At 36.6% G+C, this 15,475-nt stretch overlaps 1 annotated feature.

The window, feature by feature from the left end:
- Positions 1,424 to 2,137: an enhancer, noted in NCBI's record as "NANOG-H3K27ac-H3K4me1 hESC enhancer chrX:28225271-28225984 (GRCh37/hg19 assembly coordinates)". NCBI's record gives its function as "activates a minimal SCP1, AML or CMV promoter by ChIP-STARR-seq in naive H9 embryonic stem cells {active_cell/tissue: H9 hESC(naive)}" and the evidence as "EXISTENCE:reporter gene assay evidence [ECO:0000049][PMID:30033119]".

Raw genomic sequence — 15,475 nt, 5'->3', positions numbered from 1 at the left:
CTGTAGATGTCTATTAGGTCCGCTTGGTGCAGAGCTGAGTTCAATTCCTGGGTATCCTTGTTGACTTTGTGTCTCATTGATCTGTCTAATGTTGACAGTGGGGTGTTAAAGTCTCCCATTATTAATGTGTGGGAGTCTAAGTCTCTTTGTAGGTCACTCAGGACTTGCTTTATGAATCTGGGTGCTCCTGTATTGGGTGCATAAATATTTAGGATAGTTAGCTCCTCTTGTTGAATTGATCCCTTTACCATTATGTAATGGCCTTCTTTGTCTCTTTTGATCTTTGTTGGTTTAAAGTCTGTTTTATCAGAGACTAGGATTGCAACCCCTGCCTTTTTTTGTTTTCCATTGGCTTGGTAGATCTTCCTCCATCCTTTTATTTTGAGCCTATGTGTGTCTCTGCACGTGAGATGGGTTTCCTGAATACAGCACACTGTTGGGTCTTGACTCTTTATCCAACTTGCCAGTCTGTGTCTTTTAATTGGAGAATTTAGTCCATTTATATTTAAAGTTAATATTGTTATGTGTGAATTTGATCCTGTCATTATGATGTTAGCTGGTGATTTTGCTCATTAGTTGATGCAGTTTCTTCCTAGTCTCGATGGTCTTTACTATTTGGCATGTTTTTGCAGTGGCTTGTACCAGTTGTTTCCTTCCATGTTTAGTGCTTCCTTCAGGAGCTCTTGTAAGGCAGGCCTGGTGGTGACAGACTCTCTCAGCATTTGCTTGTCTGCAAAGGATTTTTTTTTCCTTCACTTATGAAGCTTAGTTTGGCTGGATATGAAATTCTGGGTTGAAAATTCTGTTCTTTAAGAATGTTGAATATTGGCCCCCACTCTCTTCTGGCTTGTAGGGTTTCTGCCGAGAGATCCGCTGTTAGTCTGATGGGCTTCCCTTTGAGGGTAACCCGACCTTTCTCTCTGGCTGGCCTTAACATTTTTTCCTTCATTTCAACTTTGGTGAATCTGACAATTATGTGTCTTGGAGTTGCTCTTCTCTAGGAGTATCTTTGTGGCGTTCTCTGTATTTCCTGAATCTGAACGTTGGCCTGCCTTGCTAGATTGGGGAAGTTCTCCTGGATAATATCCTGCAGAGTGTTTTCCAACTTGGTTCCATTCTCCACATCACTTTCAGGTACACCAATCAGACGTAAATTTGGTCTTTTCACATAGTCCCATATTTCTTGGAGGCTTTGCTCATTTCTTTTTATTCTTTTTCCTCTAAACTTCCCTTCTCACTTCATTTCATTCATTTCATCTTCCATCACTGATACCCTTTCTTCCAGTTGATCGCATCGGCTCCTGAGGCTTCTGCATTCTTCACGTACTTCTCTAGCCTTGGTTTTCAGCTCCATCAGCTCCTTTAAGCACTTCTCTGTATTGGTTATTCTAGTTATACATTCTTCTAAATTTTTTTCAAAGTTTTCAACTTCTTTGCCTTTGGTTTGAATGTCCTCACGTAGCTCAGTGTAATTTGATCGTCTGAAGCCTTCTTCTCTCAGCTAGTCAAAATCATTCTCCATCCAGCTTTGTTCCGTTGCTGTTGAGGAACTGCGTTCCTTTGGAGGAGGAGAGGCGCTCTGCGTTTTAGAGTTTCCAGTTTTTCTGTTCTGTTTTTTCCCCATCTTTGTGGTTTTATCTACTTTTGGTCTTTGATGATGGTGATGTACAGATGGGTTTTCGGTGTGGATGTCCTTTCTGGTTGTTAGTTTTCCTTCTAACAGACAGGACCCTCAGCTGCAGGTCTGTTGGAATACCCTGCCGTGTGAGGTGTCAGTGTGCCCCTGCTGGGGGGTGCCTCCCAGTTAGGCTGCTCGGGGGTCAGGGGTCAGGGACCCACTTGAGGAGGCAGTGTGCCGGTTCTCAGATCTCCAGCTGCGTGCTGGGAGAACCACTGCTCTCTTCAAAGCTGTCAGACAGGGACATTTAAGTCTGCAGAGGTTACTGCTGTCTTTTTGTTTGTCTGTGCCCTGCCCCCAGAGCCTACAGAGGCAGGCAGGCCTCCTTGAGCTGCGGTGGGCTCCACCCAGTTCGAGCTTCCCGGCTGCTTTGTTTACCTAAGCAAGCCTGGGCAATGGCGGGCGCCCCTCCCCCAGCCTCGCTGCCGCCTTGCAGTTTGATCTCAGACTGCTGTGCTAGCAATCAGCGAGATTCCGTGGGCGTAGGACCCTCCGAGCCAGGTGTGGGATATAGTCTCATGGTGCGCCGTTTTTTAAGCCGGTCTGAAAAGCGCAATATTCGGGTGGGAGTGACCCGATTTTCCAGGTGCGTCCGTCACCCCTTTCTTTGACTCGGAAAGGGAACTCCCTGACCCCTTGCGCTTCCCAGGTGAGGCAATGCCTCGCCCTGCTTCGGCTCGCGCACGGTGCGCGCACACACTGGCCTGCGCCCACTGTCTGGCACTCCCTAGTGAGATGAACCCGGTACCTCAGATGGAAATGCAGAAATCACCCGTCTTCTGCGTTGCTCACGCTGGGAGCTGTAGACCGGAGCTGTTCCTCAAAGCTGTATGTTTCTACTCACAGTTCTCTGGAGAAATATCTCCCTTTATGAAGTTTTCTCTTTTTTTCGGTCAGATAAATGTGATTTACTTTTATTTTGTAAATATAGTATTTCAAAGATTATATGAAAGTCTTGAAATGCCCCATGTCCTTATTATTCTGTCAAATATATCAAAATGTTGCAATTTGTATTGCTACAGCTTCTTCTAGTTGACAATCACCAGTCATTCAACTTATAACTATTGTTGCTCAGTGAAATCTTATTAGTAGTTATGCCCTTAAAGTGCAGATCCTGTCTCAATTTAAAACTGGAGTTATTCTAAAAACCCAATATCTTTTGTTCCAGTAAACTGAAATATGCTTGTGATATATCAAGCAATGTGTTATACAGAATTCAAACTAGGCAACTTTTAATATACCTATTCCATGGTCTAATAAACACTAAAAGTATTTCTAGAAAATTTCTTTCTCCTTCTAGTAGACCTTCTTGGTTCCACACCAAGATTCTGTTTACCTGCCTACTGCTCTCATCCCTCAGCTGTTGTGAGGGTTGGTTGCTAATATTAATAGCTGGCCTTTCTCCAGAAAATTGCCCTTACCTTGCCTGGGAAACAACACCTCCCTCTCAGCTCCTCCTCTTCCCTCCCATCCACTCCTGCTCCCAGGGACAACCACTGACCAATGACTGGTATTGGCATACAAAATGCTGCCCTCCTAGCCTCAAGGCAGTAACTATTCTGTGTTACAATTCATGCTCCAGAGCTCCCTGCAGAGTTAGGTTCAATCTAGACTCCCGGTTAGGCATGCTCTTGCTTGATTTATATGTACCTGACTTATAAATGCCTGCCGTATTTGCTTCCTTCACTTCTTTCTCCTGAGAGCACTCCTTCAATAAATAACTTATTCAAGAATTCCCATCTGCCTCTGCTTCTGTGAAAAGGAACCCAACACTCCTGAAATTAGATATTAAATTATTTCTGAATCATGTCTGGCTTTTATCTCTCAATGTTTTGTTAAAAAGAGGAAAATACTGAATTCCTATACCTTTACTGTTTACCCAGGATAAGGATAATAGTAAATTAGAATTGATATAATACAGTGTTTAGTGAAGGGTTTTGAATTATTTGATCCAACTATCATCAGTTTATAAAAATGGTCCAAAATGATGAGCTTGAGGATCACTTCTTTGGTCTGGATCCAGGAATGAGAGGGAAAATGAGGGAGGTACAGCAACCAACTGCTGTCACAGTGATAAGGGGCAAAGATTGTTGTGGATGCAAACCAATAAAAGTATGTCCTGGTAATTCAACAGCCAGTAGCTGAGAAAAACAATTTGGGATTCCCTAGAGATCCCTATTTCCTGGTAGAAAGAATCAAATTGACCAGAATGCTGGATTATTAACCCCCAAACCAGGATTGTGGTTACATTTAGGGAGAAGGTCATGATAAGGAAGTAGCATGTGGGGAGTTGCTGCAGTGCCAACAATATTGCAGTTTATGACTAAAGCATTGGTTACATGGTTCTCCATTCCATTAATACTTGTTTAACTGTGAATATAGATTTATGGTCTACTCTGAGTATAAACTTGAACATTTAAAAAGTTACACTTTGTATCTGCTTGCTACTGTTAATTTGAATGCAATTAATTTTTCATTTTTTTATCATGCAGTTTATAAACTTTCTTGTTGAATGTAATAATCTGTAGATTTGGGTTTTTTCAAACACAATATTATCTGAGAAAATGATATTTTTCTCCTTTTCTAGTTATTTATTTTTTTTGACTTATTGTACTGGCTTTAAAATTCAATATATTGTTAAATGGAAGTAATATGTCCCTGAACTTAAAAGGAACGTTTTTCATATTTTTCCATTAATTATGGTTTTTACTGTGGGGTTTGTGGTGGTATCTTTAATCTAATTAAATATTTCCTTCTAGCATTTTTTAAATCATTTTTAAGTTAAAAATGATGTTAAATTGTACTGAACATGTTTTCCATTCCTACTGAGCTCTTAATATCCAATATTTTATTTTTAATTCTTAAATCCAGTAAGGATATTCTCAGGTCTTTTGCTCCTTTTTATATTTCCTTATTTTTATCATATTTAATTGCTTCTTTTCTTTTTAAAACCTATCACTATACTTATTTCTATATTCTTATTCTAGTAATTCAAATATATGGAGTATTTTCAGGTTTAACTCCATAGTCTGATGCTCTTGCTGGCTTTCATATATGGCACGTTAGTCCATTTTGTGTTTAGTGATTTTTGAATTTGACTTCATAATTCTGGAGACTTTATCTTTGAAAATCCTTTCAAAGGATTTCCTTTCAAAGGATTGGGCTTTAGCTGAGTTTCTCCAGAAAATATTTTCATTTTCTTCTGCAAGCTATCAGGAAGTTCTACCAGCTCTGGATACTTTAAATTCTTGGATAAAGATTTTTCAAACTACCAATGTTGTAGGAATTTAGGCTGTAGATGCACGTAAGACCAATGTTTTGGCTACAAGTTTTCAAAGAAGACTTATTTTTTTGCCCCTGAACTCAATGCCAAAGATCAATTAGACATATTTCTTTGCATTATTCTGAAGGTGCAGAGGAAGGAAAGCAGATTTATTTCTAGTATATTCTTACTTTGAAGGTGTAGCTGCTGGGAACCCCAGCTTTATGTTGGGAGTATTTCCTATTAGACATACCAAATTGGATGACCCTTGTGCTTTGCCTATTCTCCCCCCAAGTCTTGAAAGAGTTGGAAAATCAAAGTTCAAGTTCACACATTTGTCAGATACTATCAGATTGAAAGCTATCTCTCAACGTATTTTTCCTCTGGGTCTTAGCTTACATTTATTTTATTTAAAAATATTTTTCCAGCATTTTTGTTGTCTTTTTTTCACTCAAAGGGTTGTTCAGGTTACTTAGTCAGCTAGGATGCCAGAGGCAATAACTTTAACTTTATGATTTCTGACCTCTCTTTCAACTTTGGAGTTGACACTATGTTTACTATATTAAAGATTTGTGGTTGGTAAGTGCTATATTTCTAAGAAGCAATAACTTGTGAGTGCAAGCAATATAATTGTTCGCTCATGAGAGGGTTTTGGGCCACACATTCCCACAGCTTATGCATCTATGTCCTTGCCCTAGGCTGTTCCATTTAACGTAGAGGGGATTTTTAGTTAAATGATAACTTTAGTTTAACTAAAATCCCATTTCCCAATCATTTCCTAGAATGCAGTAACAATGCCTTGATATTGTTGAAACTTATTTCTTTTAATAAAATATAGCCTTCCAAAATAATGTCAAAATTCATACAGTATAAGATGCATCCAGCTTTTAACTATACAAACCTCTTCTAAGAATTAAACACATTTCTTTTTAGTTAAATACACATTATCTTCCTCACAAGAATTTGGTCTTTTTGATTACAAACGTGTGTTAAATCATACTTTTGGTTTCTGTAATTACCATTCTTGTGATGATAATACCAACCTCACAAAGTTGTGAGAATTACATGAGTATATGTATATGAAAGGTTTTTGCAAATCATAAAGGAATACAAGGTTACCAAACATATTTTATAAAATGAAATGTTACATCTAAATTCTCATAGCAATTTAAAAAATCATAGGTGGATACATGTTTACTTTTCCTTCTAAATTGTAAGCTTAATAATGAAAGGAACAAACTGATTTAATCTCCTAAAATCCCTAGAATTTAGCACTGTGCCTGGCACATAGTAAACATTCAATCATAAAGAATATTTGTTTAGTTGATAATAAATGAGATATTTTTGATGTATCTCATGTCATTGAAATATTCATTTTTAAGGGATATTTATTTTACACTAGGGATTTTTTATGTCTTTTCTTCTTCTTCCATATTTTGTATCTGTTAATAGGTGTCTATAACAACTTTAAAATAATGGTCTCTTGGGGGACAAGAATTATGTTAAGATTATTTCCCCATGTGTCAAATGAGAGAGTTTGATTGGATAAGGTGAATTGTTTTTCCCAGATGTAAGATCCTCTGAGCTTTGATATTAAATGAAGTGTAGACATGTAATTTCTACACTGTAGTACTATCATGGTCAGCTTCTAGTTTAGAAAATGCATAACAGCAGATATGTAGGCAAAAGTATGCAAATATGCAATATTTGCAAGCATATGCAAATTTTCTTTTGCAATATTCATTTAATCCACTTTTCAAAATAGAACTATGCAAGGCCCTACCTCTGTACATAATCCTAATTGGGTTGCTTTATAAAGGCATAAACCATTGCTGCATCCTCCTTTTATCTTACCATCAAAACTTTTTTGCTTTGGTTATGGTCAATTTGGGGTCAATTTTTCTAATTTCCAAGGTGACAACTAGATAGCCCGATAAAATAATCCATGAGACAATGTGAATACATTTATGGAGGAGGAATTATAGTCAAGCATAATATATTATGATATCCTGAATTATTTAAATGTAATAAAATACAATATACTTATAATTGTTGTCTCACCAGAAAGAGTGCATTTATTATTAAGAATTTCAAAGTAGATTGTAATGAGGGTAGTGCATAGCAGACCTCAGAGTAAACAGAGATCTTGAGGTCAGCAGATTGTATGTAAATTTGATGAGTTTGTAAGTCTTCGTAAGGCTTTGGGGTATGTAAGGGATGTTTAAGGGAGCACCAACTATAAAAAAATAGTTTTTACATTGCTTGTATACCTTCAGCTTCCTTAATCTATTATTTAAACTAGTACTATGAACAATATTTGTGCTTAATAAATGGCTAATAAATACCATATGACTAAAAGTTGAACGTATTTCAAAATTAATATACTACTTGGGGAAATGAAAGAAAAGGAGCCTAATTTAATCTTTCCATTACAAATATTTCCTCACTCAGAAGGCATATTATTTTAATACATAGTCCAAAATTTATGAATGTTGTTAAATAACCTTCCATTTACTTTTTCATAACTAGAGACATTGTTTTTAAAGACTGTCCCCATTTTCTATAACTGTACATTAAAGGCAAGAAAGAAAAGAAAGTATTATATGTAAAGACACATTCTAAATATTCCTGACAAGATAACATTTTGTTGTCAACTTAGACTGTGAAACAAGTGGATAGAAATCAAAATCACTAACAAGAGGTAGTCTTTTGAGACTTCTATTGATGTCCATATTACCCACAAGGAGCGCATAAGTTATCTGTGGAAAGTACTGTGTGGCTATAGATTTAGGGATCTTACTCTTGCTATCAAACTCCCTTTAGGCAGTGAATCAAGGGAGTGTAAACTGAAAAACCTATAGATAAGGAATTTTGAGTACTTATTAATAATTTATCCATCCCTTCTGGCATTTAAATGACTATAAAAAGTTACTAATCTGTGGGCATGTCATGCTTTTTCTCTTCACATCAGTTTCTTGGTTTCTACTTGGTTTTCTTTCCTCACTTTTGCCTTTTGAAAATTAAGAATATAAGACATTATTACTTTAACATACCATCTGTTTTCACAAATCGTCACTTGGTAACAAATTATTTAGAATTTTACGATGTTAAAGAGATCAATCATGTGAGAACAGAAATCTCTATAGCATGATTTGATTGTAGACTACATTTTGAGCATGCTTTACAACATAAGCAGAATTTGTACATTAGCAACATTCATATTAAAAAATATTAAATTAGAAATTCTTAGCTGTATATTTTCATTCTCTAATGTCCCTTGCATTTGACTTCCATGAAGAAGCAGACATGGTATGAAAGAAATTGATATCACAAATATAGGAATACAAATAAGACTGGGGGTGGCAAATTGATAACACAAATCCAACTATCAACCTTCTTATACCAGTAACACGTATGACTAATTAAACAAAGCACATTCTGCCTTCTCCTCATCAAGATGTGGCATTTCAAGTAGTGCTCTAGAGACACTAGCTGCCCAACAGAGGTAGAATAAATCTAACATCATTTCTCATCACTGATCGAAAAAATGTTTGGGAAATAAAGATTCGGTTCAATTTATTCAACATTTTACAGATTTGGGTATTCAAAATGATAACTGAGGCAACGTAGAGATGAATTAATTCCACATTTTTGAGGCTTAACGTGTATCAATTGTTGATCTATATCCTGAATATACAAAGATAAATTAAGACAAGTTCCTTGCTGTCAGTATATAAGTCTATTAGGAGAGTCATACAAATAAACTATTTCGGTTCCAAGTAATATACCATAAAAATAATGTGAAAAAATGCTGTAGGAACATAGAGAAAGAGGGAAGAGCTCTGTTATTGCCCAGAGTACCTGAGGAAGACTTTTATTGAGAAACTAATAACGTTTGAATAGGTCTGGAAAGATGAGTAGAAAATGGAGTAGGAAGATACACAAGAACAAGACCACTCCAAGAAGAAATAATGACAGGACAAAAGTAAGATTATAATGGGGTATGTTTTGATTTGAGAAAGGTGAATCATTTGGTGAGGCTGCATGGAAGAAAAGGAGAACAATATAAAGATTACAGGTTATGAGAGGGCCATGTATAAGTTTTATCCTTTAGGCAGTGAGGAGAAAGTAAAGACTTTAAGCAAAAGGAGGTATATGGTAATTTAGTTAACAGTGTGACAGATAAAATAGAAAAACGATATTTTTATTTTGAGATGGAGTCTCACTATGTTGCCCACTATGTTGCTGGAGTGCAGTGGTGCCATCTTGGCTCACTGCAACCTCTGCCTCCCAGGTTGAAGTGACTCTCGTGCCTCAGCCTCCCAAGTAGTTGGGACTACAGGAGCGTGCCACCACGGCTGGCTAATTTGAAAATGTCATTCTGATGGCAGAAATATCACTTAGAATAATGATCCTCAAAGTAAATTAAGCACACTCTAGGGAACCTTAGGTAATCCATTGGAATATGAAAAGAAAATATTAGAACATTTACTTTTATTTGAAAATAAGAAAGAGAATAAATTTAACTTTAATGTATGGATTGACAGACAAATTTAAATACTCTTATAATGGGGTTGTATATGCAAACATTTTAAAAAAGAAAACAAATACAGCTGTGCCCTTTTTCAAAAAAATATTTTATTTTATTTTTATTTTTGAGATGGAGTTTCACTCTGTCGCCCAGGCTGGAGGGCAGTGGCATGATTTCAACTCACTGCAACCTCCGCCTCCCAGGTTCAAGCAATTCTCCTGCCTCAGCCTCACAAGTAGCTGGGATTACAGTCACCCACCACCACACCTGGCTAATTTTTTGTAGAGACAGGGTTTCACCATGTTGGCCAGGCTGGTCTCGAACTCCTGACTTCAAGTGGTCCACCTGCCTTGGCCTCCCAAAGTGCTGGAATTACAGGCATGAGCCACCATGCCCAGCCAGCTGTGCCCTTTTAAAGCTACTCTCTGCCCTTCTCTGTCCTGACCATAGCCTAGAGAGGATGACTTCTATGGTCTACTTCAACCAAGTTCCCATCCTCTCTTGCTCTCAGATTCAACCAGTGGATTGTAACGGTAACAGACTGAAGTGTGAGAAGACAGAGAATTTGGAGAATATATTACCCTTTCTCCTGACTAATATGAGATTTGTTAGTGAATGATTTATTCTATTAAGACAGCAGCTTGGCCAGGTGCAATGGCTCACACCTGTAGTCCCAGCACTTTGGGAGGTCAAGGTGGGAGGATTGCTTGAGCCCAGGGGTTTGAGACCAGCTTGGCCTACATGGCGAAACACTGTCTTCAAAAAATACAAAAAGTAGCCAGGCCTAGTGGTGCGCACCTATAGTCCTTGCTACTCAGGAGGCTGAGGTGGGAGGATCACTTGATCCAGAGAGGTCAAGGCTGCAGTGAGCTATGGGCGTGCCACTGCACTACAGTCTGGGCAACAGATCAAGACTCTGTCAAAAAAAAAAAAAAAAAAGACAGCAGCTCTTACTGGGGAGAGCAAAAGAGGGGAAGAAAGGAGAAGACAGGCCAGACACGGTGGCTCATGCCTGTAATCCCAGCACTTTGCGAGGCTGAGGCGAGTGGATCACTTGAGGTCAGGAGTTCGAGACCAGCCTGGCCAACATAGTGAAACCCCCGTCTCTACTAAAAATACAAAAACTAGCTGGGCGTGGTGGCACATGCCTGGAGTCCCAGCTACTCAGGAGGCTGAGGTAGGAGAATCGCTTGAACCTGGTAGGCGGAGGTTGCAGTGAGCCGAGATCACAACATTGCACTCCAGCCTGGGCAAGAAGAGCGAAACTCCGTCAAAAAAAAAAAAAAAAAAAAAGAAAGAAAGAAAAGAAAAGAAAGAAAAAGAAAGGAGAAGACAGCAGAGAAGAGAAGAGAAAAGAAGAAAAGAGAAGAAAAAATGAAGAAAAACATTGAGGAGGAGGATGGATTAAAGCTGTACGTCTTCACTCAGAGACACCACATACATATGGGAGGAACAGTTAAGGGCAATCATACTACAATAAGCAGCTACAGCCAGGGAAGCAAACTTCCAAAAAATAAGAGGAGACACTTCCCAATTCATGTAATGACATCAGTATTAGCCTGATACTAAAATGAGAAAAAGACTATATAATAGAATACCACAGACCAATATAACTCATAAATGTACATTCAAAAATTCTAAACAAAATATCAGCAAGTCACATCCAACAAAGTATAAAAAGAAGTATATACCCTGACAAAGTGGAATTTATTCTAAGTGTGGAAGGCTGATTCAACATTCAAAAATCAGTGGAATCCATCATAAGAACAGGCTAAAAAAGAAAAATTATATGATCGTATCAAATGAGGAAGAAAAATCATTTCACAAAATCCACCACCTATTCATATTAAAAACACTAAGCAAGTTAGGAATGGAGGATATTTCCTCGACTTGTTAAAGAGAAGCTACAAAAACCTTTAACTAGCCTCATGTTTAGTGGTGAAAGACTGAATGCTTTCCCCCTAAGATCAGGTACAAGGCAAAACTGCTCTCATTATTCCTATTCAACATAGTACTGGGAATTCTAATAAGGGCAATAAAGCAAGAAAAAGAAAAGGAAGTAAAAGGCATACAGATTGAAAAGTAAGAAATAAAACTGCCCTTATTAGCAGATGACATGATTGTTTACATAGATAATCTGAAGGAATTTACAAAAACTCTCCTAGCACTAGTAAATGAGTTAGTTTAGCAAAATTCTTAACAACATTGAAGTGAAGAAATATACTACTAGATTAACCTTTTGACCAAAAAGTAAATAAGAAGGGAACTTATTATTTATAAAACAATGTAGGCAGAGCACTTCATATCAAAATATATAAACAGCAAAAACTCTACTTATATATCTTTATTGTTGAAGAAGAATGCTTAGAAATAAATAAAAAATAGCCATATTAAGAAATTAAAGCCATAATTAGAAAAGCCAAATATATTAAATATGAAAATGATGGATGTTTTCCCAGTAATAAGGCAGAATAAAAATGCAGAAATTTTTATTAATTAAATAACTAAAAGGTATTATAAAGGATAAGCATGAGAAAGACTGCTAGTTTTTCCCCAATGCCCATTGACCTCTTTCTTTTTTGAAGTAATAGAATCATTAATGCCTGCCTGATTTATTTATTTTTCTTTTCTCATTTGTTTGAGACAAGGTCTCACTCTGTCGCTCAGCCTGGAGTACAGTGGCATGCACATGGCTCACTGCATCCTCGACCTCCTGGGTGTAGACAATCCTCCCACCGCAGCCTCCCTAGCAGCTGGAACTACAGGCATGCACCACCATGCCCAGCTAAATTTTTTGGTACTTTTGTAGAGATGGAGTTTCACCATGTTGCCCAGGCTGGTCTCGGACTCCTGGGCAATCCACCCATCTTGGCCTCCCAAAGTGGTGAGATCACAGGTGTGAGCCACCGCACCCAGCCTCTTGCCTGGTTTAAAGCTGACATGACCAGTAAAGTTCTTTATTCTTCTGTCTGAGGTGCAGATGTGATGGCTAGATCTCAACAGTCATTATGGACCACGAGTCAGAAGATGCATATTGATTTTAATGGAGTTACAGGATAGAAAGTTTTGGAATATATGCAGATTATAGACCCTTAAATTATTCATTTCCAGAATTTGTTTATATGAGTGAAAAATAGCCTTCCATGTAAGTGGTGTCTCCAAAGGACAGCTTTAGCAGAATATAAGACTGACATTCTTCCAAAAAAAAATAAAAATAAAAGGCTGAGAACCTCTAATTAAGGGGAGGATTAAGAGCTTTTTCTTCTCATCAAAGTCTACAGTTTCAGATGGCCACAAGGAGCTGCTATTAGGCTGAGGGACAGGAGTTTGGTAGAATGTAGAGGCTAGTAAATAAAAGACTGGAGTCTCAAGGCTTAAATACATGTCTAAATATGGAACTGGCCTGAAACAAATAGGCCAGAAACCAATTAAGTTTTTAAAGTAAATTTTTTACCATAAAAATCCCAAAGAATACAAACAAACCCAAAATACAAACCAAGACTGAAAAATCCTGTGACTGTTTAACCCATAAAGCAATCCTCAGGCCTCTAAAACTACACAGCAAGAAGCTAGTTGCAAAATCTCTGCAGCTATGCTTCAAATATGGCCACATGGGGCAAAAAGAAGCACCACAGAGAAATACAGAAAAAAACATCATCCTAGAAAACACAACCAGAGCAACTTCCAGTCAACTTACTGCATTGCTATAGTATAGAATTCAATAATGGTTTGATAATGGCTAAAAATCAGTGATTATTATCTGTATTTCCTATTTTCCCTTTTTTGAATGGGAAATTCTTCTTGGTTGTTCTATTAATACTTCATCATTTAATATTAAATAACCATGGGTCTGACAACATGTCTGGAAAACCAGTACCATATATAAATCTGAATGACAAGATGACCAATCACCCACAGAGCACAGATTTTGAGACATAGTAACTATACGGTACAGTGGGGTTTGTTTCCTTGGGAACAGATATATATGATTCCATATGGGAAAAAGCTATTCATGGATACTTGGGTTCCCAGACTGCTAGTTGTTCCCCAAGTTTACCCATTCTCAATTTTTTAATGTAATAATATAACTTCTTATGTTTAATAGGACATATGGCTGCCCAGAATAAAGACTACATTTTCCAGTTTGCTTTGCAGCCAAGTGTGCCTATGTAACAAAGTTCTGGTCAATGGGATATATATGGAAATGGTTTGTTCCAATTAGGACAGGATCACTCCTATTTCAATTAGAACCAAGAAGAAGTATGTTCTGTCTCCCTCATTCTTTCTCTTAAATGGAATGTGGATGGGATGAATGGCGTAATTAATCCATTGTAAAGGTTGTCAACGTTGATTGTCATGAGGTACAAATATAGAGGAAGGCTGGATCCACCCAGATGCCTACCAGCCTTGGAATTTTAGCTCCATATATATTTTTTAATATAACAGAAAAGTAAATGCTTATCTTTGGGGAACTCTGATGTGCATTCCAAATGTTCCCATAATTTTTCCTCTCTGGTGCACTTCATTCCTTTCTGCATTATTATACTTCCTTTTGGAAGAGTTTTCCTTCTGCCTAAATAATAATATTTAGTATATCTTTTAATGTAGGTTTGTTAACCTCCCCTCAACTCCCAGAAATCTTAAATTGTCTTTGAAAATTATTTTATTTCTTTTTTTGAAGGAAAGTTTAGCAGGTTATACAATTTATATTTAGCTGCTATCTTCTTTCAGGACTTCAGATAGCTCACTATTTTCTTCCTACTACCATTTTTCTGTTTCTGTTGTAAAGTAAGCTGTCAGTCTTGTTGATGTTCTTCTAAAAATAATTATTTTCAGTGTCTCCCTTTAAGATTAAACATGATGCATAGGTGTGGTATTTTTGTACTTTTTTCTGCTTTGGATTTATAGATATAGAAACTGAGATGTCTTATCCTTCGTCCCTTTGGGGATATTTTTGCCAATAACTCCTCAAATATTTCTTTTGCCTCATTTTTTATCACACTTTTCCTTTGAGACTCTATATACACATGTATGGGGTGGGGGGAGATAGAGATATGATTGGGCTACATATATGTGTGTGTATATATATATATATTCCTTATACTTTTATCTCATATATAGTCCTTACATTCTTATTTATTTTATATCCTTTTTCTCTTGCTTCAGTCTGAATATTTTCTAACTTATCTTTATTTAGTGAATGACCTCCTCTGCTGTGTCTAATCTTCTCTTAATCACACACACTTTATTCTTAATTTCAGTTTTGTTATTTTCTAATTTCCATTTGATTTAATTTGGTAAAAGTATCCATCTTTGAATCCATTTTTGTACATACTAATCCTATTTATTTTAAAGGTAGTGTCTAAAAACTCTACTAACTATATCACCTGTCAATTTATCTTATTTTAAATATATGATCTCTTAATTTCCAGTCCTTTAGTCCTATCTTTTCACATATCTGGCAGTTGTTTTTAATTAATATAATTCATATTTTTCCTTGGTTCAGACAGCTAAAATATAGATATTTTAAGTATATATATATAAAGTACATATATAAATACAAAGTATATATAAATATATATTATATATACTTTATTTTTAGAGCAGTTTTAGATTTACAGAAAAATTGAGCAGAAAGTAGAGTTCCCGTATATCCATTCTCCCTCAACAGTTTTCCCTGCTATTAATATCTTACAAACTTTGTACAGGGGCAGCAGCGATGTTATACTATCACTTGACTAAATGCATCACCTGATCACACACACACACACACACACCATAAACACCAATATTATTTATGCAAAAACATAAGTAAAATATTAGCAAATTAAATAGTACATTAATACATTGTGACAGAGATTGTTTAATGGATGCAAAAATAGTTTAACACTGAAAATCTGTAAAATATATTCAATAAACAAATCTACCAAGAAAATTTATGGTGATCAAGAAATTGACCAACCCAAAGAAATCTACAGATTCAGTGCAATTGCTATCAAAATAC

This window comes from Homo sapiens, chromosome X, assembly GCF_000001405.40.
Source record: "Homo sapiens chromosome X, GRCh38.p14 Primary Assembly".
Classification (NCBI taxonomy): Eukaryota; Metazoa; Chordata; class Mammalia; order Primates; family Hominidae; genus Homo; species Homo sapiens.
Note: the sequence above shows the minus strand (reverse complement) of the source record. Positions and strands in the feature narration are given on the sequence as shown.